The following is a 27,559-nucleotide window of genomic DNA, read 5'->3' as shown; positions in this document are numbered from 1 at the left end:
AATTACAATAGTCCAAGTAAAAGATGATGTTTTTGGTCAGATGGAAGCAGTGGAGAAGGAAATACATGGATAAATTAGAGATGTATGTGAGAGAGGCTGGGGTTACACCTGTAATCCCAGCACTTTGGGAGGCCCAGGCGGGTGGATCATGAGGTCAGGAGTTTGAGACCAGCCTGGCCAAGATGGTGAAACCCTGTCTCTACTAAAATTAGCCGGATATGGTGGCCCTCCTGTAGCATGTAGCCATGACTCTCCACAAAAATTAGCCAGATATTGTGGCGAGCCTGTAGTCCCAGCTACTCAGGAGGCTTAGGCTGGAGAATCGCTTGAACCTGGGAGGTGGAGGTTGCAGTGAGCCGAAATTGGCACCACTGCATTCCAGCCTGGGTGACAGAGTGAGACTCAGTCTCAAAAAAAAAAAAAAAAAAGATGTATGTGCGAGGTAGCTAGGGTTATCTAACTGTTGGTTGTAGAATATGAGGGGCAAGAAATGAAATAAACACATAGAAGCATTTACTGGAATATAAAGGCAGGGAAGAAGAGCAAGTTTTAGTTGATAAAATCACAGTTTATTTTAGAAACATTGGGTTTGTGATCCCCATTAGATATTTGAGTGGAAATGCCAAGTAGACTATCTCGATTTCAGCGCCAATGCCTGGCCTGTGAATATGAATTTGGGAACTATGACCACCTAAAGTCGTGAGACTAGATGCTATGCTGTTTTTGTTTGTTTGTTTGTTTTTCCCCCGTGGTTAAAAAAAAAAATCTCTAGCTAATACATATACAGATATGTATATACTTGATATATTTGATGCAGTTAAAAAAACAGATTTGATAATTTTATTCTTTGGCTCTAATACATTGCTTTGCACATATTGGGCTAAAAATAAATAGTTGTTTTATGATAATATGAATAAATTTTACTTTTACAGAGAAGACTTTTTAGGCATACTTGTAACATTTTAAAAATATATTACTCTATCACTGAACAATTCATAAACATGACTCTCTACAAATTATTTTTCTGACACTCATCTGAATACTCTAGCACATTTTTTTTTCAATAAAATAAATACCAAGGGACACCTGTGTAGCTTTGAAAGGCACAGGTAATACCTTTACAGTTGTGGCAGCCTCCTGCTTTGCACTCAGTAAAATCTACTCTTGAGAGCAAAACCCGTAAATGTGTTCATCTGTAATCTCCCTTGTGATTTGAAGGATATCTCCCAAGATGACTTCCCAATGGTCCTCTTCAGTTCTCTATTTGGTCGGCACCCAAACGCCATCACAAATCAGTTTCATATCTCCCTTTCACTTCACTCAGCAATCTGACACAAAATGATTTTGTTGTTGTTATTGTTATTGAAAAATAGACATTAGATTAGTTCCTTGGTATAGAACCACTATGTTGCTGCAGGTTTATCTATTAATTGTTATTCTATGAAAAACAATGACATATTTAGGTATTCCAGTTCTAACAATCTGCAGAAAAAGATTTATTTTTCTTTGTAACAAAAAATGTCAATATCTAATACAAAGTTAAAGCTTTGGAAAAATCTTTAGTGGAAATATTTTGTGGAAAAATCTTTAGTACACAGGCTTATCACTTGTTTAAGCAATAATACCAAAACCTTCCTGAGACATAAATTTGCCTCATGTTTATGAAAATATGCCATGATTTATGAAGAACTTTAAACTAGCTTATCTCCAATATTTTGAGCCATCCTTTTTATTTTAGATTTGCAAACCAAAGCATATATTCCAAATCATGAATGTTCCAATATGCTTCTATTCCACTTTTGGACATGCCAGAGCTTTAGTTCCAAAGAGGAATATTTTCTTTTATTTTTATTTAATAGAAGAGAAGGGAATCTTGTGACTCACATATTTATTACTATAGCAAATTTGGCAAACTGTTTTTCTTAGAGGAAGATTTAAAAATTCATGAATGTAACTTTGGTTATGAAGTTTAATTTTTGCTCTGTGTTGAAAATAATGTTGGCATAAATATAAATAAGATTATCATTGAAAAGCTTTCTAAATTATTCATATATATTTTAAATAATAAAATATTATTATGGTTAAGTTTCAATTGACATACAAGCTTATCCATTATATTAGATTTAACTATTAATGGGCAAGAATACATTATTCAATGATAAGTAATGAAGAATAAGCTATTAAACTGTAATAAGCATAGTAGTTTATAATTTGTTATTTTTTGAAATTTAGAAAAATTGTGCTGTTAACTACTCCAACACTGAATGATTCTTCACCCTCTACAGTGCTCAATGTGCCTGCTGCATGTGTTAGTGATGTGGTTTATCCTGCAGAGTCCCTTATTGAAAAGACCTTGAGTGTCTATAGCTCTATTAAATTTTCACTCTCTGATGGCATAACCATCAATAACTACAACCCACTGATTTTATCACCTTTTTGCTTCCCTCTTAAGCCAGCTTAAATTCCATGGCCAGTTACTATAATATCTTCCTTTCCTGTAATTTCAACTCCCTTGTCTTGCTCTTGCCCTTGTCTTTGCCACATTAGCTTGGCAAAATACAAGCTCTGGTTTGTACCTACAACCCCTAAACTGGAAGTAAAAACAACAAAAATAAACCACAACCATGTGGATTGCTTTTACTTTAAATTCAAAGGCAATAACCTCAAAGAAGCTCTTAAGGCTGCCCAGCAATCACACTCCATTGCACTGGTACAATACTCTCCTGTTGTCATAGACATAGCTTATAGTCTTTCCTTAAACTCTTCACAATTTTTCCCATCCTGTTTTCTGAGAATATAGAGGCAGTCAGAGAAGAGAATGTTCTAAATTCCTACCCTCATAGCTACCAAACAACTAGCATCTGGACCCTTTCCTTCCTTTACAATAGATTAATTATTGTTGCCAAAAATAAAAATCATATCCTCCACTGTGCCCTTTCACCCAGTCAAGGACATTGTTCCGCAGCCTCCTCCTGTTTCTGGACTATTGCTTACTTCCCCCTCTTTACTGGATCATTCCCATCAGCATTCACATGTCTTACAATTTCTCCCATTTAAAAAAACAAAAAAAAAAACCGATTTTCCATTTAACTACACATAGACAGTATGTTTTTGCTCCTATTTATAACAACACTTTGGAAAAAGTGGTCTATATTTACTCTCTGAAACTTTTCCATTCCTTTTCAAACTTATACCAGCCAGGCTTTCATCCTCACAACTCCATAGAAAATGTTCTTTTGAATGTCACCAGTGTCTTCCACATTGAGAAATCCAGTGATTATTTCCCAGTCTTCAACTGGCTTGACCTCAGCCACATTTGACACAGATGATTAATCTGCTTCCTGAAACATTTTTTTCACTTCCTATACAGAAGACAGATTTTCATATGGCTTTTTGTTTTACTTCACGGCCACTTCATAATATTCTCCACTGGTTTCTACCTTAATCAACTTACTTTGTTGTGCTCCTGGGGTCTCAGATTTTGAATCTCTTCTCTTAGCATCTCTAATAAATACAGTAGTCCCCCACTTATCCATGGTTTCACCTTTCACAGTCTCAGTTACCCATGGTCTACAGGGTCTGAAAATATTAAGCAGTTGTGCTGTTCTGGGTAGCATAATGAAATCTCTCACCCTCTCGCTGCATCCCTTCTGGGATATGAATCATCCCTTTGTCCAGTGTATATATAATAACTACGCTACCATTAGTCACTTAGTAGCTGTCTCAGTTATCACATTGAGAAAAACCTCATAGACATATTGTTAGGTTATAGCTGTGAGATGAGGCATCTACTGAGGGTCTTGGAATGTATCCCCCATGGATAAGGGGGTGGGGAACTACTGTAAAATGGTTGTCTTTCATTCCATGGTTTTAAATGTTTGTACAGTGATGACTTCAAAAATTTTAATCCAGACCTTTCCTTTGGACTTCAAATTTTCATAGCTATCTCCTGGCTTAAGGTAATGACTAAAGGTCCAAAAGCCATCTCCAACTTAATATACCAAAGCCCATATGTTGATTGCCCCTTCCCTCACCTTGCTTATCCTGATGTTTTCTCCATCTAAGTAAATCTTTTCTTTCAGTTGCTCAGGCTTAAAAAGCAACTACCTCTCTTCTCTCACTCCCCACATCTAATCTATCAGCAAAGCCTGTCAGCCATTGTGGAGGCAAATAAAAATTTAAAATAAGAGGCTCATTTCTTCCTGTTAAAAATAAAGGGAGAGACTGCTCCCCACCTCCAACCTTTTTTCTTGGGAGTGTTTACTTTAGAAAACTAAACTTGTAATTTTAAGTACTTTCTCCTCTTTTTGAAATGCATGTATATCATTTTGAAAACTAATTAGGATCTTTGTCAGTTTTATGACCCAGGAATGTCTTTTCTCAAGCATCTGGAAGCCATCTCTTTGAAATGTAAACAATAAGGAAGGTAACAACCCCAGATTCCAGCTACTATGGGAAGATAAGGGGCTAACCTAGGTGGACATATTACTCTAAGTAGTGGAGTACTTCCTGTTGTAAAGATATACATTAGTTTTTCCTCTGAATAAGTCCAATTAGCTAATGCAGATTATCACCTCAATTACCAGACTGACTTTAGGATGAACTACGACAAATGATGCCTTCAAATCTACTTTCTGAAAAATTAGTAGTTATCGTTTATTTTGAAAATATGTATGTAATGACTTGGGTCTGCTTGGCTATATAAAAGGCTGAGTTTTTTTGTGTTTGCAATCTCTTAGCAGATTGTCTGTACTGAACATCACATTCTGATTTAAATTTATTCAATAATAAAACTGTTTTCTTTCTCTATTACCTTTGTGGAAAGAATTTTTGAGTTGGGTGGAAGTAGTGACTATATGAAGCAACTACCACTGAAGGACCAGAAAAGAATAACGACAATATTAAAGAAAACAGCCATCTTGGAGTCCAGTTATATTTTAATAAAAGGTAAGGATAGGCAATGTTTTTTCAATGTTGGCTAGAAAGAAGATACGTTGAAGAGTAAACCAAATAATTTAGACATTCCATATAATGTTATGCCAGTCCATCATATTGGTAACATTACCGTGATGAAGTCTCATGAGAAGCAAGTAACAAGTATTTAAATGTTTTAGTGAAACATATGCAAACTAGATGTTGATAACCCAAGCTACTCTATCACATTGAATTTTCTGGGTGTCCAATGCAATAGAGTGCTTGTTTCCTCACAACTTAAGCAACAAATTATGTTTTCTTGCTTTTGAGTTTTGCTTTTCTAAGAAAAATGGTAGAGTACTTTTAATTTGAATTTCTTTTTTCATGACTGAATTTTGGATATCTTCAGGTGTTTAAAAGCCATTTTTATAGCTTTTTCTGTGAATTTTTTATTGTATCTTTTCTCCATTTTTTTCTCAGGCTTTTGGTTGTTTTTGCTTTTTTTTCTCAATTTTAAAGAACAATATAATTTTCCAAACTTTTGAAATTTTATATAGTTCTAATTATACTAAGAAAAGACATATTAAAGAGCTTGCTTTCACACCTGGACCAAAAACCTAAAGGAGAACCATACAATGTCCTTGGCTTATGTGGTAGATATTATAAGGTAAACAAAGAAGTTCATGAGGAAAGAATGAAACTCTTTGATCAACTTCTCCCTTCCACCTGAAAATTCTTCTAATGTCTTTGGGATACTAATTAACACAAGAGAATATTTCCCTTGTAGAGTCCAAACATAGTTTACATACAGCTACTTTGTATGGTAAATGATACAGTCAGTTGTTTGCTAAAGGTATTTTTTTCTGGAGGATTCAGCTATTTTCTGGAGAATATAAGCAACAGTAAAAGTAATATTTATGTGTATCTTTGAGATGACTCACTCCCTCTGAAAAATGCAGTGATGAACTCATCCAGTATTTAAACAGGAGCTAATCGGCAAATTGTGTGAAGCTTAACCCGTATGGTTGAATCCTGGCATGAAGTCATAAGCTTTTGTGGTTTTCATACTCACAATTATCTATATATTAAGAAATACATCAAGAATCTCTATACTTAATAGGCAAACATATGATGTGGTTAGCCTCTAACCACATTTCTAGACCTTATTTTTTTCTTCTATTTCTCAGTGGATTTATTTGAAGGCATATCCTGGAAAAAGAAGTAAAAAGAGGTTAGGCCATATCCAATTAATGTCATACATCTTCTAAGGGTAGGACCAGATATCTAAGCCAAATACTGATTACAAAATCTATGAGACAGTACTGCACAAAAGAGATAATGAAATAAAAGGAAACATGAGCAAAATTCGAGGGTAACACATTTTATGATTCATCACTGAAATGACAATCATTAACATCAACCTAACAAAATTTTGGCAATCTGTTGTACATTGCTTTGTGCTTGATAGTTTGGTAAATAAAGAAATAAACATAGCAGAGTCCTTGCTCTTGCTCTAAAGGATGTAACACGAGGTATATAAAACAACTGAAAAGAACTTTAATGCAAGGCATAGTCTGTAGTAAATTCGTGACCAACACATGACAATTCATAAGAAGGAAATACTACTATTAATAGGGAGAATTATGAAAGTATTATGAAATGGGTAACAGAGACATAGACTCTCAACAGAAAGAGATATGAAGGGAAAGAATGAATAAAGTATACTAGGTAGGAAAATACTAAAATGTGTAGGAAATTGTGAATACTTTGCTTTTACTGGAGTTTTGAATACATGTGAATAGAATATGGTTGTCATAGGTAGTTGTATAATTTTGAAGGGCTTTGAATGTCAAGCTGAAGATTGTATCTTTAAATTGGAAGACAATAGAGAACCAAAGTTTAAAAATGCAAAGACACATGATATGAGATGTGAAATGCCCTAAGCAATGTAGAAACCTGAAGACAATTTAAACTATTATAATCTGTGTAAACAGTAATAGGCACTTTGCCTAGATCACGGATCAAAAATTTTAAAAAGGAGAATGTCTGTTTCACGAACGTTCCTATTTTGAGATTTATGGTTCTTGATCACCAGTAAGACACATAGGTAAGGAAAAGAGACAAGTATCAAGGCTGGAGGATGAAGTGAGGAAAATTATTGACCATTATTTAAGAAGAATATGACCTATTACAGTAGACGAGAAACAGCGAATGGTGTCCCAAGTCAATATTGGTCCTTTGTTGTTGTTGTCCATATTTACCTTAATTTAATAGTATTATTACTATGTATTTTCTTAATTGGTTTGCATTACACTTTAGAATATTTCCTGTGTAATGATAGTGCAAACAATGTCCAATAAATTATGAGTAAGTAGTATAAGAACAATGAAAGGTAATGTAACACTTTGTGGAACAACTAGATTTTGCCATTTTTCCTAAGAGTTTTTTTCACATCATTACAAACTGGTTAAAAATCATATTTTTAAAACAACCATATTTAGATAAAATTGAAATATAAATGAAAAATAACCAACACATAAAATGAACATTTGGTAAATGTTGAGATATATATACATATATATATATGTATATATACTCATTTTACCATAATCACAATCAAGATAATAACCACATCCATCGCTCCCAAGATATTCCTTTTGTCCTTTTGTAGTTGTGATTGAGGCTTTTTTTAAATGCCCCCAAATCTTATCTACCTCTGTAAATATTCTATATATACTGTAGAAATGTGTATTTTGCTGTCCTAGGCTGCAGTGCTGTATAAATGTAAATTAGGTGAAGTGGTATACTTAACTAATTTTTTATTTGTTCTGTCAGTTATTGAGAAAAATGTTAAAATTACTATCTAAAACTGTGGATTTGATTATCTCTACTTGCAGAGCCATCTGATTTTGGTTTATGCATAATGAGATGCATTATTGTTTGGGATTGTTATAGCCTCTTAAAGTGACCCCTTTATCATTATGAAACAAACTTCTTTATTTCTGGTAATGTTCTTTGCTCTTAAAATTACTTTGAAGATAATATAGCCATTGAAAATTCATTTTATTTAGTGTTTTCATAGTATATTGTTTATTATCTTTTTACTTTTAATCATTTTTGTGTTTTTTTATGTTGGAAGTGAATTTCCCAAAGGATCCATATACTCTGGTCTTGCTTTTTATCCAATCTCTCTGAAGGATTTCATTTAGCATTTCTTGCATTTCTTGTAGTGTGAGTCTGATGGTGACAGATTATATCCACTTTCGTGTAACTGAATGTCTTTATTTTACATCCATTTTTGAAAGACATTTTCACTTGGTGTCTTAGTTATCTCAGGCTACCACAGCACAATCCCATAGATTGGGTAGCTTAAATAACAGAAAATTACTTTCTAACATTTCTGGAGGTTGGAAGTCCAAGATAAAGGCACCAGCATGGAGATCTTCTGGTGAGTGGTATCTTCTTGAGTAGTAAGATGGCTTCCTTCTTGCTGGGTTCTCACATGGTAAAGAGAGGGGAGGAGAGAGAGAGAGGGAGAGAGAATGCTCTGGCACTCTTAAAAGAGAACTAATTCCATCATGAGGGCCCCATATTCATGATGTCATCTAAAACTAATTATCTTTCAAAGGCCCCAACATGAATGGATGTTGAATTTTACCAAAAGCCTTTTCTGCATCCATTTAGATAATCATGTGTTTTTTGTCTTTAGTCCTGTTTATGTGATGAATCACATTTATTGATTTGTGTTATGTTGAGCCAACCTTGCATCCCAGGGATAAATCCTACTTGATACCTAGGAATACAGCTAACTAGGGAGGTGAAAGATCTCTGCAAGGAGTACTACAAATGACTACTCTTAAGAAATCAGAGATGACACAAACAAGTGGAAAAACTTTCCATGCTCATATATAGAAAGAATCAGTATTGTGAAAATGGCCATGCTGCCCGAAGCAATGTATAAATTCAGTGCTATTCCTATTGAACTACCATTGGGATTTTTTCACAGAACTAGAAAAAACTATTTAAAAATTCATATGGAATCAAAAAAGAACCCAAATAGCCAAAGTAATCCTCAGCAAAAAGAACAAAGCTGGAGGCATCATGCTGCTCGACTTCAAACTATGCTACAGGCCTACAATAACCAAAACAGCATAGCACTGGTACAAAAGCAGCCACATAGACCAGTGGAACAGAATAGAGAACACATAATTAAGAGTACAAACCTACAACCATCTGATCTTTGACAAACTTGACAAAAACAAGCAATGAGGAAAGGCTTCCCTATTCAATAAATGTGCTGGGATATCATGCTAGCCATATGCAGAAGATTACAACTGGACCCCCTTCTTACATGATATACAAAAATTAACTCAAGGCAGATTAAATACTTAAATATAATACCCAAAATTATAAAAACCCTGGAAGACACCCTGGGAAATACCATTCAGGGCATAGGCATGGGCAAAGATTTCATGAGAAAGACACCAAAAGCAATCACAACCAAAGCAAAAATGGACAAATGGGATCTAATTAAACTAAAGAGCTTCTGCACAGCAAAAGAAACTGTCAACAAGCAGACAACCTATAGAATGGGAGAAGATTTTTGCAAACTATGCATCTGACAAAGCTCTAACATCCAGCATCTATAAGGAATTTAAACAAATTTACATGAAAAAAAACTCATTAAAAACTGGGCAAAGAACACAGATAAGACACTTTTCTAAAGAAGGCATACATGTGGCCAACAATCATATGAAAAAATGCTCAACATCACTGGTCATCGGAGAAATGCAAATAAAAACCACAATGAAATACCATTTCATACCAGTCAGAATGGCTATTATTAAAATGTCCAAAAATAACAGATGTTGGTGAGGTTGTGGAGAAAAAGGAACACTTATACACTGTTGGTGGGAGTGTTAATTATTCAATAATTGTGGAAGATAGTGTGGTGATTCCTCAAAGACCTAAAGACAGAAATACCATTTGAACCAGCAATCCCATTACTTGGTATATACCCAGAGGAATATAAATTGTTCTATTATAAAGACACAAGCACGCATATATTCAATGCAGCACTATTCACAATAGCAAAGACATAGAATCAACCCAAATGCCCATCAATGATAAACCAGATAAAGAAAGTGTGGTACATATACACCATGGAGCACTATGCAGCCATAAAAAAGAACAAAAAATTCCTTTGCAGGAAAATGGATGGGGCTGGCGGCCATTATCTTTAGCAAACTAATGTAGGAACAGAAAACCAAATACTGCATTTTCTCACTTATAAGTGGGAGCTAAATGATGAAACACTGGACACATAGAGGGGAACAACACACACTGGAGCCTATTGAAGGGTGGAGAGTAGGAGGAGGGAGAGGATTAGGAAAAATAACTAATGGGTACTATGCTTAATACCTAGGTGATGAAATAATCTGTACAACAAACTCCCATGACACAAGTTTACTCAAGTAACAAACCCGTACATGTACCCTTGAACTTAAAATGAAAGTTACAAAAAAAAATATTAAGAACTCCATTTTTATAAAATAATAGAATCCTAAAATCAGCTTGGAGGACATTGGAGTCATAATCTAATCTTGCCTCATGGCATGGATGGCAAATTCAGATGCATACGGGTATCATGCATGCAGGTAATATAAATGTCTCCTTATATCTGACCCATTTCATTGAATGAGCTAACCCAACGATAAAGTGATAGTGAATTTGGTGAACTGGAAAAAGCATACCCGGTATAAAATCCAAAGAAGCAGTGAATTGTTGACACGAGGAATATGGGCACAGGATAACCAAGTCTGACTTTTCAAAATTAGCAGGCAATATACTCTGTGTGTGTGTGTGTGTGTGTGTGTGTGTGTGTGTGTGTGTGTATATGTGTGAATTCCCAAGTTTCTAGCTTTGAATCAAAGATTTTTTCCTCTGCACTGTGTGTGGGCCAAACAGCACAACTGTGGGCCGCTAATTTGCAAGCCTTAACTTATATAGAAAAACTAACTTCCTCCATTTTCTGGAACACATGCTGAATAGAGATGGGGCTGAAACATTCAGGCAAAAAGTGGAAGACCAAGCCAATCATCTGTGGAAGGGAAGATTAAACCTACATTGTAATAAAACAACCCCAATTATTTAGACCCAAGAAGAAAAATTTTGAAAGTATTTTCTCCAAATAGCTTCATGTTTGTTAGCCTATAATTGAAAGAGCTGATGATTGGATTGTTTTATCCATAGGCAAATAAATGCAACTCTTTGCTTTTCAGAGATGACATCCTAAAATAAAACTAATCAATTTTAAATAAAAAAAACTTTCTGAATACATTAAAATATTCCTTAATATAATATTACTAGGTGAATGATGTGTCAGTTTACTTATTCCATAGTGAAAATATTGCTTTTCTAGAGATAGTTAATAGAAGAGAATAGAAATTTATTTTGTGAACTGTGAATCTTCCCAAGACACTATGCCTGAAAAGTGTAGTTTTATTTCAAAGCAATTTATAAACCTTGGCCAAAATTAAGTGGTCCCTAATTTACTGAAAGAAATTTTAAATATATCACTATTTTGAACAAGGTTCATCACTTTTTTCAGGATGCACTTTAAGAGAATATGAAAAAGTACATAATAAAAATGAATCATGTTAATTTCTAGCTAAAGAATCATGAAATATTAAATAATTTTCTAGATATTTTTAGTAGAAAATTAATTTGTCTCTTTAATTTCAGCACATATTTTAAGTTTGGTAAGTGATATAGTTTGGACATTTGTCCCCTCCAAATCTCATGTTAAATTTTGATCCTAAATATTAGAGGTGGGGCCTAATGGGAGGTGTTTGGCTCATGGAGGCAGAGTACGTTCTCACTTTATTAGTTCCCAGGAGAACTGATTCTTATAAAGTGCCTGACACCTCTCTCCACATGCTCTTCCTCTATTGCCATATGATCCCTACTCTCTTTCACCTTATGCCATAAGTGGAAGCTTTCTGAAGCCCGAGAAACAGACGCTTACACCATACCTTCTTGTACAGCCTGCAAAAATGGGAGCCAAGGCCTTTATAAGGCCAACTTATCTCAAATTTTATCAGAATTAGTTATAATAACAATTTCTCATTGAGAAATCTTATTTTTTTCCCAGGCTGATTGTGATTATTTGGTATCCAACCCCAGCAGTTGTGTAATGCTTAATTTCTAATGCCACCCCTGTTACAGAGAAAAGAGGCAGTATATATTGTAATTTGTTCTTCACTGATCCCTTCCAATGCTTGTGATGCTTCTGTAGCACTTAAGAGAATTCATACCATAATATGATTTATATAAGCCAAATGCTATGATTCTTATTACTTTTTTTCTCCTCATCTATGTGTACTAACTTCATTTCTCATGTGCATGCTGGCTAAATAGACTACCTGTTTTGCTTTCAGATTTGTTCTCTACCAATGCCCTACACTGCTAACAGGAAACTGCCTTCTGGATTTGTGGGAAGTTCACCAGCAGGAAGCGCCAGTGGAAATTGGGAGGGGTAAGAGTAGGGGAGCAACTTAGGTATCCCACCATTTGCTGTGGCACCTAGCATCTCTTCCTGGGCCTCAACTCTGCCAAATGGCTCCGATTTTTCAACTCTGATAGCAAAATCTGCTTTTTGTCCCTACAGGACTAGCAAGAGTAGTACCTCCTATTATTCATAATTTTGGGTTTGTTTGGTCCCTTGGCTCTTCCATCTTCAGTGTAATCATTTACCTTCATTAAAAATCCTCTATTTCTAAGACTTTAAAGTGAATGATTTCTGCTTCCTTGATTGATACACATGCCCAAATACAGGACTCTACATAGTTCCAATGACATCTATTAATAGCACATATCCGCTAATATATAGTAAGACCCTTTCTAGACAAATAAAAACTAAAATGGTTTCATGGACATTGTGAATGTTGCGAATTGTTGTGAATGTGGTTGTGAATTATCCTGAAGCTCTGTAAGTTGTATGTACAATGTTCTATTGGAAGAAACAGAGCACCTACAGACTAGGGATATTATTCACTTCAATCAATTAGCCACGGACAGAAAATATGTTTCACTTTTTAGCCTAGTCACAAGAACTTTACTTATTGATGAAATCTTAAAAAAAAGTTTTATTGTCAAGCTTCAGGTAGTTTAAAGTGAAAAATATGGAGACATTTCATATGGTGAGTTTTTGTTAACCAGGGGATAGCTTTTATCAAATGATGTGGTTATTTTTCTTTAAATGTATGTATTAGTTACTATGTTTAAAACCTTAATAGCCCCAAAAATACTTGATTAAAGAGTTCTGACTGAGGCTAAAACGTGTGTGTGTTAAATAAGACCTGCAAATATTTTAAAAAATTCTTAACCACTGCAAGATGCCATTTTCTGATGCAAAAACAATGCCACTCATATTTAAAATTATAGAGAAATACCTTATAACCTGTTCTCACTAAAAACCTAGATTATAAGACTTCAAATAAACAATAGGAAAGCTTCTAATCAGCCCAAATCCAACCAAGTACATACTGATTAATACTTCACAGTATTTATCTAAGAAAATGTCAGCAAATGCCGGTTAGTAGAGTTTGTTTTTGCTGAGATATCTTTTTTTTTTTTTTTTACTTTTTTATGTTGGATTTCATATTCTCAGTGGCTATAGCTGATTTCCACTGTTCTTCAGTTAGTTTCCTGGCTGCTCACAAAGATTTTCCTGCATGCCACTGCTCTCCAGGAATCTACCAACATTCACGTAGACTTCTCAATGAATGGCACGGAAAGTTTCTTCTTAAGGTAAGTTCCTAGTTATTACTATTGTATAGGCAGATATTTTTACAAACTCAATCAAAAATTTAGGAAAACACTTAAAAAATCTTGTGTTATTTATTTGAACATAAATTATGAGGAGTATACAATATTATTATGAAAGAAGAAACTATAAATTACACTTTTCTACCCATTTTCTGTGGTGGGAGGAAGGAAAATCAAGCAATTTTCTAAGATGGGTGAGGACTTTTATGGGAAAGTCCTCTCATAAATATTTTAGTCTTATTCCTTTCAAAATATATAAGAAATACTTTTCTTCTAGCAATTTCTAAAAAGGTAGATGATGTATTCTAAAAGGGGCAACAACTGAAAACTTCTATGTCTTGAAGACATGTTTTTTCTGATTACAAAACAACTAAACATCTTCTTTTAAAAAATTCAGAATATGAAGACTGCACACAAAAGCAACTAGAGAATAGACTACTGACAATTCAAGGTATCTGAACATCAATTTGTCTTGGAGGTTTTGCACACGTCAAACTCAGCTCTTACTGAACAGGTCAATGATACCAGTATCACTGAGTGTCCAGTGGACTCTCACTGCATTATTTTAATTCTAAAGTTTATTTTAAACTTTACTGGGGTATAACTGAAATGCAATAAACTACACATACTTAAGGGCCATAATTTGTTGAGTTTTGACATACTTATACACTCTGATATGGTTTGGTTCTATGTCCCCACACAAATCTCATCTCTCATCTTGAATTGTAATCCCTACCTGTCAAAGGGGAGAAGTGATTGGATTATGGGGGTGGTTTCCCCCATGCTATTCTCCTGATAGTGAGATCTGATGGTTTTATAAGCTTCTGGCATTTTCTCTGCTTGCACTCACTTTCTCCTGTTGCCTTGTGAAGAAGGTGCCTGCTTCCCCTTTCACCTTCCACCATGACTGTAAGTTTTCTGAGGCCTCCCCAGTAATGCAGAACTATGAGTCAATTAAACTTCTTTCCTTTATAAATTACCCAGCCTCAGGTAGTGTTCTTTATAGCAGTGTGACAATGGACTAATACAAACTCATAAAACCATTACTGCAATCAGCACCAAAGGTTTTCATACCCTCATTTGTAAGCACTCCTGACCTGTCTTTTTCCACACCAGTTCCAGGACAAATGGTGATTTGTTTTCTGTGGCTATAAATTGGTTTACATTTTGTAGAATTTTATATAAATGGGATGACACAGTACATTTTAATTTTTGCTCTAGTTTGTATCACTTAATAATAATAATTTCAACTTTCATCCATGTTGTTAAATATATGAGTAGTTTATACTTTTCTATTGAAAAGTATTATTCCATTTTATGGATATACCAAAGTTTGCTTGCCCATTCACTTGCTGGTGGACATATGGGTTGTTTCCAGTTTGGGGTTCTTAAAAGTAAAGCATCTGTGAACATGCAAATACAGTCTTTGTGTGGACATATGTTATTGTTTCTTTTCTGCTTCTATTCTGTTTTCTAGAAGCAGAATAGATTGTATGGTAGGTTTATATTTATTTTCCTAAGAAACTGCCAAACTCTCTTTCAAACTGATTGTACCATTTTACAGTCCTACCAATTCCAGTTTTATTTCCTCCATATCTTTACCAACACCTGGAATGGTGTTGTTTTATTTTAGTCATTCTAAAGAAGTAGTGTCTCATTATGATTTTATCTCACATTTCCTTGATTACAAATGTTGTTGAAAATCTTTTCATATACTTTTGGTAATTCATATATCTTCTTTTGTGAAGTGACTCTTCAAATATTTTACCTATGTTTTATTATATGTTTGTCTTATTATGAGTTGTAAGAGTTTTTACATATTATGAATAAAAGTTCATTTATATATGTGAGATGTTTTCTTCTAATATGTGACCTGCCTTTTCATTTTCTTAATAGTGTATTTCAAAGAGAAAATTCTTAGTTTTGATAAAGTCCAATATAGAATTTTCAAGACATTACTCTTTAAGAGCAGTTTTAGGTTCACAGCAAAATTGAGAAGGGAATATATAGGAAATCTCTGTAACTTTCTCTCAATTTTGCCGTGAACCTAAAACTGCTCTTAAAGAGTAATGTCTTTAAAATTCATATTTTGGACTTTACCATAACTAAGAATTTTCTCTTTGAAATACATTATATATATATAGCTATATAGATATAGAAATACACTATATATAGGGTATATATGTATATATATAGTGTATATATAATATATATATGAAATACACTATACACACACACACACACACACACACACACACACACACACACACACACACACATTACTTACTTCCCCAACCAGAGTGGTACATTTATTACAATTGATGAATGTACATCTACATCATAATCACACAAAGTCCATAGTTTACATTAGGGTTTACTCTTGGTGTTGTACCTTCTGTAGGTTTGAACAAATGCCCAGTCACATGTGTTTACTATCATAATGTCATACAGAATATTTTTACTGCACAGAGTAAATCTTCTGTGCATTGCCTAGTCATCGCTCTCCATTCCACCTTTTTTCTGTCTCCATAGTTTTGCCTTTTCCAGAATATCACATAGTTGGAACTATATAGTATGTAAGCTTGTTAAATTGGCTCATTTTGCTTTTCATAGCTTGATCGCTTATTTCTCTTTACTACTGAATAATATTCTATTTTCTGGATGTCTTATAGTTTACTCATTCACCCACTGAAGAACATCTTGGTTGATTCTAAGATTGGCAATTATAAATAAATCTGTGAATATTCGTATTCAGGTTTTTGTGGGAATCAAAGTTTTCAACTCATTCGGGTAGGTAACACAGAGCAATAATTTTTGTATTTTGTGTTTCATGCTTTTTGAGTTTTAAGAAACTTTTTGCCTATCGTATGTTTCCAAGATTTTCTATCCCGTTTTCTTCTAGAAGTTTTCATAGTCTTAGGGTTTACATTTATATTTATGGTCAACTTTTAGGATTTTTTTTTAAGTAACCAGTGTTTTATTTGAAACTCTCAAGCTAATATTTGAACTCTGTTTTATCTCTTTGTCATTTACACAATCAGATAAGTCCCTGAGGTCATATATAAACTCTCTGATTTATATGTTTCTGAGCCTCATATTCCTTATGTAATAACCTACTAATTCTATCCTTCTCAAACTTAATATACTGAAAATAGCAACTGATAATAAGAGTAATATATAATTATTAAAATTATAATATTATCATGGTGGCTATTTGTTGAGTACTAGTTCAGTACCAACAAGTTTTACTTTTTATTTCATTGACTCTTCCCAACAAACTTATATATTATTATATCGTTGCCATTTGTACAGGTGAGAAAATTATGTCTTAGAGAATTTAAGTAACTTATCCATGGTTGTACATTTAGTAATTGGCAAAGCTAAGAACTGGACACTATTCTGACTGCTGCATTGCCAAATTTTAAACACTGCTCCCTTGATCCTTTTGAAATGGCAATTTTCTAAACTCTACTGTATCTTCACTTCACTTTTTAAACACCCCATTACATCATTATCTAAAGTCAAACACATCTCATTTCTTAAAATATGTGGCCTCTCCTGTGGCCTTCCAAAATGGTGCTGCTGATTTTTTCCAAGTTTTGGATACTTAAGAGCATTTTCCTAGGTTCAACTTGTTTGCTCTCTTCCATGTCTAATGGTCTATAGCTAGCTTTATCTTCCCTCTTTTCAGGCCAAACTTGTTTGCTGTCTCATATCTGACTCCATAGAGTTTTTTCTTCCTGTTTCTTGAATATTATATCCCTAAGTCACAAATCATTTTGTCTACAGAAAATATCATAATGACTGGAAAAATATGTACCTTAGTTATTGAGCACTTGCCTTGTCTAGGCACTAGGCTACGTAATTTTTACAATAATATCTTCTAATATGTTACAACCTTATGAAGCAAGTATAATTATTATCTTAACTTTACAAATGAAGAAACTGAATTGACCACTACTTTGGCCATAGTTGAAAGAAATGATAGAACCAGGATTTGATCCAGGGATGGGTCTTTTTTTGTTTCTTACACTTCACTCTCTAACAGTATAACAGAAAAAGTAACAGCTTTTTCCAGCTAGCAAGTCTACTGACAAAGCTTTTTTTTTCTATGGGTGAATGCAGCTGATTCTGTAGTCTTGGGGAGAGTGTTTAGCACCCCAGAAGCATAAATAACATCTTCTGTCAGAAACAAGTTATATAAATTTATAACAGTTAATAAGATTTTGAGGAAAACTTGGGGAAGGAGGACAAATAGATAATGATTTCTATTAAGAGTGACCACTGCTTCAACCTGGCCTCAGGTTACAAACCCCACACCTAGCAAGCTTTCACCTGGCAGGGGTAAATCAATTCTCATTAATAAGAATTTTCATGCTTCACCCTAAACTGTCTTCAGTCAAAAAGAGGAGGAATCTCGTTCTTCAGTATGAATACCATTCACATTCCTTCCACAGAATAACTAACTGAAAATGGAAATGGACATTCTGTTAGAATAACAAGAACCCCAAACTTCCTTAACATACTTTCAAAAATAAAATAAGATGACTCTTATAGTTCAAGATGAATCAATCACAATACTTCACAGTACAATACAGAAATCTGAGTTATTCAGTCTTAATTTGTACAATGTCAAGACTCCATCAGTCCAGTTCAATAACTATAATCCCAGTCCTGTCTAGTTCTTTGTCACATTCTTTCTGTCAGCTGGATACAGAAAGAATATTAAACCAATATATGCCTTTTGTTTTTTCTCAGTTTTACAATTTTTTGAGAACAAATAAATTGAACTGTTTTAACTGAACTACTTTCTTGTTTGTCCTCAAAAGTTATATCCTCAATGTTTATATGGATAATCATTAATATAAGAATTTTAGAGCCAGAAACATCTTAAAATTAATCTAACACATTTTTCAGGCAAGAAAATATGTCGTTCTAGGTAGTTACACGATGTAAGATTACACATCTAGTTAATGGCAGTGCTTTAACTAGAATAAAACATCTTCTATATCTAAATTTGGAGACATATTTCTAGGAAATTTTACACAATTTTGTTTTTTAGCTTACAGCTCTTCCCCTTAAGAAGAGTTAACAGGCATGGGGAAAATTAATTTATATCAGAGAAGAACAGAAGTTATGATATCATTTATATGGCATTCAGAAAAATATCAAAAAATACATAAGCATATATACATGTACTGAAAAGTAAAAATAGTTAAAAGTCTGCATCTGTGATATGATTTTTAGAAAATGAGAATTATAATTATAAATTCTGACTTTTTGTGTGCTAGGACTCTAAAACAGAACGCTTACTCTGTAAAGGTTCAGATAGTAAATATTGTCAGCTCTGTGGGCCATATGGTCTATCATAATTACTCCAATTTGTTGTTGTTGTGAGAAAGTAGCCATAGACAATATGTAAATGAATATGGCTGTATTCCCATAGAACTTTATTTACAAAAGCAGGAGCCAGGCTGTAATTTTCCAACTCCTGCTCTAGACTGATGCATGAATTATTTCGTTGGGTTAATTATTCTTTACATATTGATCGAGTTACTATTTTATGCCAATATCTGTTCTAGGCTTTGAAGCTAGTACAGCAGAAAAACTGCCTGTTCCATGAAGCTCGGAGTCTAGTGACAATAAATTAATAATTACTATGTTGTAGTTAATAACAATAAATTAATAACTGAATGTAGAGTATGTTAGGTGAGGATAAGCACCAACAACAAATATAGAGAAAAATAAGGTGATAGAGTTTGAAATAACAAGGAACGGCTTGCTAATTTAGAAAGTAGGGGCAAGAAATTCTCTTCGATGAGCAGAAAACAGAATCATGTGATTACAGAGACTATTTGAAGTTTGCCAAGTTTATTTACAAGTTCTGTGTAGAAAAGCTATTATATTTCTCTGTTGTTATTGGGGTTTATCCTTCTCTCTCTTGTTTTTCAGTTCTTTTAAATGCTTGCTTTAGGCATTCAGAACACCTGCTTGCATGGACTAGCAACCTGAGGTGCCCCACTCTTTCTGTACAGAGATATTGGTGCAGGGGGGCCTTTACATCCAGGCAGATCTCCAGGTAGTTGGAGAACTTGCTCACCTTGATCAGAAGCCTAATCTGCCCCTCTCTTCCATGTCTGGCCCATCTTCTGTGCATAGATTGTGGTGCAGTGGGGCCCTCTCTGTTTCATGCCCAGGCAGATCTGTAGTCATTCAGAGCACCTACTTGCCTGGTTCAGCAGCCTGAGCCATTCCACTCTTCCTGTGCAGAGAATCTGATGTAGGGCAAGGGCTTCTCCACTCCAAGTCCAGGCAGATCTCCAGGCATTCAAATCACCTCCTTGCCCATATTGGCAGTCTGAGCTGCCCCACTTTTCCTGAACAGATTGTAATGCAGCAGGGCCCTCTCTGCTTCATACTCAAGCAGTCAGAACACCTGTTTGCCTGGATTTCGAGCCTGGGCTGCCTCACCTTTCCTATGCAGAGATTGTGTTGCAGAATGGCCATCTATATTTAATGCATAGGCCAATCTCAAGTCATCTGAATCACACACTATCCTGGACTCAGAGTTTAAGTTGCTCCCATTGCTTGTTCTAAGACCTTGGAGTCAAGAAGTTTTTCTGTCTCCATGCATAGGCACACCTTTGGGTGCTCTGTCATTGCTTACTGGATACTCACTGTGCACTGGTGTGTGTGCCTGCCATTGGGGTACCTGCCATGTCTGGCCCATCTTATGCCCCTCCTGCCCCACCCAAGGGCTGAGCAGGTAGCTCAGACCACTGTACACTCCATGGATCACCCCACTGACTGAGGCAATAGAGAGCTTCTCCCAGTAAACAAAAGTCAAATGTGTATATCTAGTTACATTGGCTGCAACTGGCTCTTACCTATAAGTGCAATCTACTGGCTTATAGATTGAATTGCACAGCCTAATATAAAACCTGCTCAAAGATGTTCATAGGGCTATAGAAGCAATGCCAAAATACCCTACCCAGTATTTTCTACAGTCACACCACCTGGAGAGGGGATGGTGAAAGGGAAAGTAAAAGAAAAAATAATAATATTATAAAAAAAGAAAAATTAAAAATCCTATCCAAACAAAAATTATTACAAAAATCAGAAGTACCAGTGTCTCCAGATGAGAGGAAACCGGCACAAGAATTCTGGCACCATAAAAAGTATGATTGTAGTGATATCTCCAAAGGATCACACTAGCTCTCCAGCAATGGTCCCTAACCAAAAGAGAAATTCAGAAATAACAGATAAAGAACTCAAACCATGAATTGCACGAAGCTGAAAGAGACCAAGACAAGTTTTAGAGTCAACACAAAGGAACTTCTAAATAAATCCAGGAAATAAAGGAAGAGATAAACATCTTAAAAAGAAATGAATCAGAGCTTCTGGAATTGAAAAACTCACTTGAGGAATTTCAAACACAATTGAAAGCTTTATCAATAGACTGGACTAAACTGAAGAATTTCAGCAAAAATTTCAGAGCTTGAAGACTGATCTTTCAAACTAACTTAGACAAAAAAAAAAAAAGAATTGTAAAAAATGAACAAAATCTTCAAGAAATATGTGATTATGTAAAGCAACCAAGCTTAGGAATTATTGGCATTTCCGAGAGAGAAGGAGGAAAAATAAACAACCTGGAAAACACATTTGAGGGAATACTTTTAGAAAATTTTCCTAATCTTGATAGACAGGTAGACATCTGAATACAAGAAATGCATAAAACACCTGCAAGATACTATACAAAACAAACACCAACAAGGCAGAGTCACCAGACTGTTCAAGATCAAAGCTAAAGAAAAAATCTCAAGGGCAACTAAAGAAAAAAAGCCAGATCATGTACAAAGGGAACCCCATCAGACTAACAGCAGACTTCTCAGCAAAAACCTCACAAGCCAAGAAATATTGGGGGTTTATTTTCAACATTCTTAAAGCAAAGAAATTCTAACCAAGAATTTCGTATCCCACCAAGCTAAACTTCATCAGTGAGGGAGAAATAAAACCTTTTCTAGACAAGTAAGTGCTAAGAGAATTCATTACCATAAGACCAGCCTTATAAGAGACCTTAAGAGCAGGGGTCCCCAACTCCTGGACCAGAAAACAGTACCAGTCTATGGCCTATTAGGAACTGAGCTGCACAGCAGGAGGTAGTCACCTTACTGCCTGAGCTCCACCTCCTGTCAGATCAGTAATGACATTAGATTCTTATAGGAGCACAAACCATATTGTGAACTGCACATGCAAGGGATCTAGGTTGTGTGCTCCTTATGAGACTCTAACTAATGCCTGATGATTTGAGGTGGAACAGTTTCATCCCAGAACCATAATCCACCCCACAGCCCCCACAATCCATGGAAAAATTGTCTTCCATGAAACTGGTCCCAGGTATGGTTGGGGACCACTGCTTAAGAAAGTTCAAAACATGGAAACAAAACAACAATACCGACTAACATAGAAACACGCTTATAAACATAATTTCTGGGATGCAAGTTTAGTTCAACAGTCACAAAACAATAAATGTGACTCACCATAAAAACAGAATTAAAAACAAAAATGATGTGATCATCTCCATAGACATGGTAAAAGTCTTTGAAAAAATACAATAAACCTTCATGTTAAAAACTCTCAGCAAACTAGGCCTCAAAGGAACATACCTCAAAATAATAAGAATAATCTCTGACAAACTCACAGCCAACATCATACTGAACCAACAAAAGCTGGAACTATTCCCACTAAGAACTGGAACAAGACAATAATGCCCACACTTATCACTCTCAGTCTTCATAATGCTGGAAGTCATAGCCAGAGCAATCAGGTAAGAGGAAGAAGTAAAAGGAATCCAAACAAGAACAGAAGGAAACAAACTCTCTCTTTGTGGCTAACATGATTCTATACCTGAAAAACCCTAAAGACTCACCCAAAAGGCACCTGGAACTAATAAATTGACTTCAGTAAAGTTTCAGGATACAAAATCATTGTAAAAAAAAAATCAGTAGCATTTCTATATACCAATAACATTCAAGCTGAGAACAAAATCAAGAACACAATCCCATTTACAGTTGCCACAAACAAACTAAATTACCTAGAAATACATCTAATCAAGGAAGTGAAAGATCTCTATAAGAAGAACTGTAAAACACTGCTGAAATAAATCACATATAACACATACAAATGGCAAAATATTCCATGCTCATGGATTGGAAGAATAAATGTCATTAAAATTACCATACTGCTCAAAGCAATCTACAGATTTAATGCTGTTCCTATCAAACAGCTAACATTATTTTTTCACAGAACTAGAAAAACATGATTCCAAAATTCATATGTAATAAGGGGCACAAACAACCAAAGCAATCCTAAGCAAAAAGAACGAAGATAGAGGCATCATAATACCTGACTTCAAACTATACTTATATACTTATATAAATATACTTATAGTAATAAGGCTGCAGTAACCAAAACAACATGGTACTGGTACAAAAACAGACATATAGAACAATAGGTTAGAATACAGAACCCAGAAGTAAATCCACACACCTACAGCCATCTGATCTTTGACAAATTAGATAAAAATAAGCAATCAAGAAAGGACTTCATGTTTAATAAACAGTATTGGGATAATTGGCTAGCTATATGCAGAAGAATGAAACTGGACCCCTACCTTTCACCATATACACAAATTAACTCAAGATGGATCAGACATGTAAATGTAAAACCTGAAGCTATAAAAATTCTGGAAAAAACTCTAGAAAATATCACTCTGGGCATCAGCCTTGGAAAATAATTTACAACTAAATCCTCAAAAGCAATTGTGACAAAAAAGAAATTGAGAGATGGGACCTACATAAACTAAAGAGCTTCTGCACAGTGAGAGAAACTATCAAGAGACTGAACAGAAAACCTACAGAATGGGAGCAAATATTAACAAACTATGCATCTGACAAAGGTCTACTGTAGAGAATCTATAAAGAACTTAATAAGAAAACACAAATAACTCCATTAAAAAGTGGGCAAAAGACACTGAGACTCTGTCTCAAAAAACAAAAACAAAAACAAAACAACTCCATTAAAAAGTGGGCAAAAGACATGAACAAACAGTTCTCAAATAAAACATGCAAGCAGCCAACAAGCATATTACAAAATGCTGAACATTACTAAACATCAGAGAAATTCAAATCAAAACCACAATGAGATACCATCTCACACCAGTCAGAATCGCGATTATTCAAAAGTTAAAAAAAAAAAAAAGAACACCAACAGATCATCTGGCAAGGCTGTGGAGAAAAGGGAACACTTATCCACTTTTGGTGGGAATATATTTAGTTCAGCCACTGTGGAAAGCAGTTTGAAGATTTCTCAAAGAACTTAGAACTACTGTTTGACCCAGAAGTCTCATTACTGGGTATCTATCCAAAAGAAAATAAATCGTTGTACCAAAAAGACACACAATATGCACTCATGTGTTCACTGCAGCACTATTCACATTAAAAAAATCATGGAATCCACCTAGCTGCCTATCAACAATGAACTGGAGAAAGAAAACATGGTATATTTACACCATGGAATACTATGCAGCCATGAAAAAATAACACAATTTTCTTTACAGCAACATGAATGCAGCTGAAAGCCATTAATCCTAAGCAAATTACTACAGAAACAGAAAATTAAATACCATATGTTCTCACTTATAAGTGAGAATCAATCATTTGGTAGTTGTGGATATTAACATGGCAAGAACAGACACTGAGAACTACCAGAGGGAGTAGTGAGGGAGGGACAAGGGCTGGAAAAATAACTCTTGGATACTGTTCTCTCTAACTGGGTGTTTTAGTCCATTCTCACACTGCTATAAAGAACTACCTGAACTGGGTAATTTATGAAGAAAAGAGGTTTAGCTGACTCACAGTTCTGCAGGCTTAGCAGGAAACATGACTGGGAGACCTCAGGAAACTTACAACCTTGGTGGAAGGATGAAGGGGAAGCAAGCACCGTCTTTACCTGGCAGTAGGACAGAGAGAGTGAAGGGGGAAGTGCCACATACTTTTAAACCATCAGATCTCATGAGAACTCACTCATTAGCGTGAGAACAGCAAGGAAGAAATCTGCCCCCATGATCCAATTGCCTTCCACCAGGGCCTTCCTCCAATTTGACATGAGATCTGGGAGGGGGCACAAATTCAAACCATATCACTGGGTGATGGGATCATTTGTAGCCCAAACTTCAGCATCAAGCTATTTGCCCATGTAACTAAACTTCACATGTACCCCTTAATCTAAAATAAAAGTTGAAAATATAAGAAATAAAAAGTACAATATTATATAATGAATATCTCCTTTAAATGTATTCTTTACCCAGGTGTCTGTACACAGTTGTCATTTGATATACTCCCTCATTATCTATTTAACTGCCCCCAATCACCCTGGCAAGGTGTAGGGTTGCTTGCTTCAGAATACTATTGAAATGTCCATATTCAATCCTTGATATTGATAAGCTAAGGTGGCAGCATTGTATTTTTCCTCGTGAGTGAGAGAAAACTTTGATACCATTAAACTCTGAGCCAGATGAAACTACTGTTTTGTGTACTCCAAATTGTTTCTTTTTAAACAGAAAATAATAATCAAATATAATATAATAGCCCATAAATTTGGAGGCCAAAGAAATTTCTATACTGTACTGATTATTAAAAAGATTTATTGAGTGTTTACTATATGCCAGACATTAAGCGAGGTGATAACTATATAATAATTAGAAAGATAATCATATATCTGCTCTAATATCCTGGGAAGGTATAATTCCTATGCCCCATTTATAAATCCCTCAGCCCCACCTTTTATTCATACCATTGCTGTGGCTGTGGTAGAACTTAGGACAGGTGCAAACTAACAGTGCCTTACCTTGGACTTCCACCTTCCCAATTCCCATCCCCAAATTCCCTTACCAGGGAATAGGACCCCATGGGGATCTAGTCAGCATTTTTTTTCTTTGCAAAATAGTATTTAGGCACAGATGTTATGGGCTTACCCTGGACCAAAGAGAATGGAGCCAATAAATAAATGATTTCCTCTGTCATCTGCAAGCCAGACAGTTCAGGGACGCATTTCATCAAGTTTCTTATTAGCCCTAGTGGGAACACATTTAAGTCCATAGTGGTCTTTCTTACTTCCCTGATTTAACTTATTTCAGTCTGGCCTCTCACTCCTATTCCCTGGAATCCATTTTCAATTAAACTACTTGCACACAAGTCTTTTTCTCTTCTGCTCTGGGGAAACCTAGGGCGAGATATGACGGAGACAGACTAAATAATTCAAAAAATAAATTTACAATTATAAAGAACATTTTAGAAAGCTATGTGACCATATTGCAGGTGTAGTTCACCAAGTTGAAAGGGTCCAGGAAGGCATCTGTTATAAAATAGGGTTTGAGCTGAAGATTGCGGTTAACAACGTGAGTGGAAGGAGAAATCTAGGCAGAGGAAACAGTACCTGTAGAGAACGGAGGACACAGGCGGCTTTAGAGTTCTGGAAGAACGAGAAGCCGTCAGTGTAGCTGCGATGCAGGAAGCCAGTGGTTAGAGAGGGGACCAGCTCCTGCATGCAGTATTGTTGCTGGAGGGCTTAGGAGGGTCTCCAGATGCCAATGAGACCCAAGTCCCTGCCTGTGTTCCAGGTTCTTGATACTGCTTCAAGAAAGAATTCAGAGTTTGGGCTTCTAATTTTATGCTGCTCCTAATTAGGGGGTAGAATAATGAGGATTTCAAGAAAAAAAAAAGGTAGAGATTTCTTGGAATTGGGGTGCCACCTTTGTTTTTGTTTGTTTGTTTGTTTCGTTTTGTTTTGTGACGGAGTCTTGCTCTGTCGCCCAGGCTGGAGTGCAGTGGCGCGATCTCGGCTCACTGCGAGCTCCGCCTCCCAGGTTCACGCCATTCTCCTCCCTCGGCCTCCCAAGTAGCGCCTGCCACCACGCCCGGCTAATTTTTTTTTTTTTTTTTTTTTTTTGGCATTTTTAGTAGAGATGGAGTTTCACCTTGTTAGCCAGGATGGTCTCGATCTCCTGACCTCATGATCCACCCACCTCCGCCTCCCAAAGTGCTGGGATTACAGGCGTGAGCCACCGTGCCCGGCTGCCACCTATTTTTATACTACATACGGCCGTGCTCCTATCTGTCGTGGTGCTGGTGGGTGTGTGACTTAGTATGGTAATGAGCATATGATTGGTCTGGGGTAGAACATGGGTTAAACCCAATACTATGTTGGACCCAGCCGGTTTCAACCAGCTTAGCCCCCATCCTGTTTGTTAGGATCTTATCAGCCCAAGTTCGTCCTTGTCCTTGTGGCTAACTGGAACAGCTGCTTTTTTGCTGCTGTGTGAAATTGCTGCTTATTTTCCCACTTCTCCGGTGACTACCCAGCATCCTTATTTTATGGGTGTTTCTTTAATTAGGGGTGTAATAATCATTAGATATTCTGGAAAAGGAGGGGATTTCAGGGACTCCTGGTTACTGACCACTTTCTCCCTTATTTGGGTTTGCCCAGAAGAGTCATGGACATATCACCCTGATGGGGGTTTTAGTCATGTTCTCTCCCTTATTTTGGGTTTTCTGTTATCCTGTAGTTTCTTTGCCTAGTTCTTGTTTTGGCAGCTGTTTGGGTTTTTCCATCCTTCTGCGACCACCTAGATCTATTCCTATTTTAATATGAGCCAAATAAATATTTTGGTTATTCTCTTAAGAGCCATAGAAAACTATTTAACGATTTGAAACAGCTTTAAACACATGTGTGTGTGTATATATATATATTTTAAAGA

The 27,559-nt window shown here is 35.5% G+C and overlaps 1 long non-coding RNA gene across 9 annotated transcripts in view; it reads left to right on the top strand.

Annotated features, from left to right (window-relative positions):
* The window catches only part of LOC124903309 (uncharacterized), a 98,633-nt gene that overhangs the window by 7,563 nt on the left and 63,511 nt on the right, over positions 1 to 27,559 (top strand). For 6 of the 9 annotated variants that reach the window (XR_007064146.1, XR_007064143.1, XR_007064142.1 and 3 more), the window contains 3 exons: positions 4,826 to 4,947; positions 12,354 to 12,451; positions 13,586 to 13,725. This is a non-coding gene — a long non-coding RNA (uncharacterized LOC124903309). Of the gene's footprint in view, positions 1 to 4,825; positions 4,948 to 12,353; positions 12,698 to 13,585; positions 13,726 to 14,140; positions 14,475 to 26,821; positions 26,931 to 27,559 lie in introns of those variants that run through there. The other 3 variants (XR_007064139.1, XR_007064140.1, XR_007064147.1) reach the window with 3 other exon arrangements.

This window comes from Homo sapiens, chromosome 14, assembly GCF_000001405.40.
Source record: "Homo sapiens chromosome 14, GRCh38.p14 Primary Assembly".
Lineage (NCBI taxonomy): Eukaryota > Metazoa > Chordata > Mammalia > Primates > Hominidae > Homo > Homo sapiens.
Note: the sequence above shows the minus strand (reverse complement) of the source record. Positions and strands in the feature narration are given on the sequence as shown.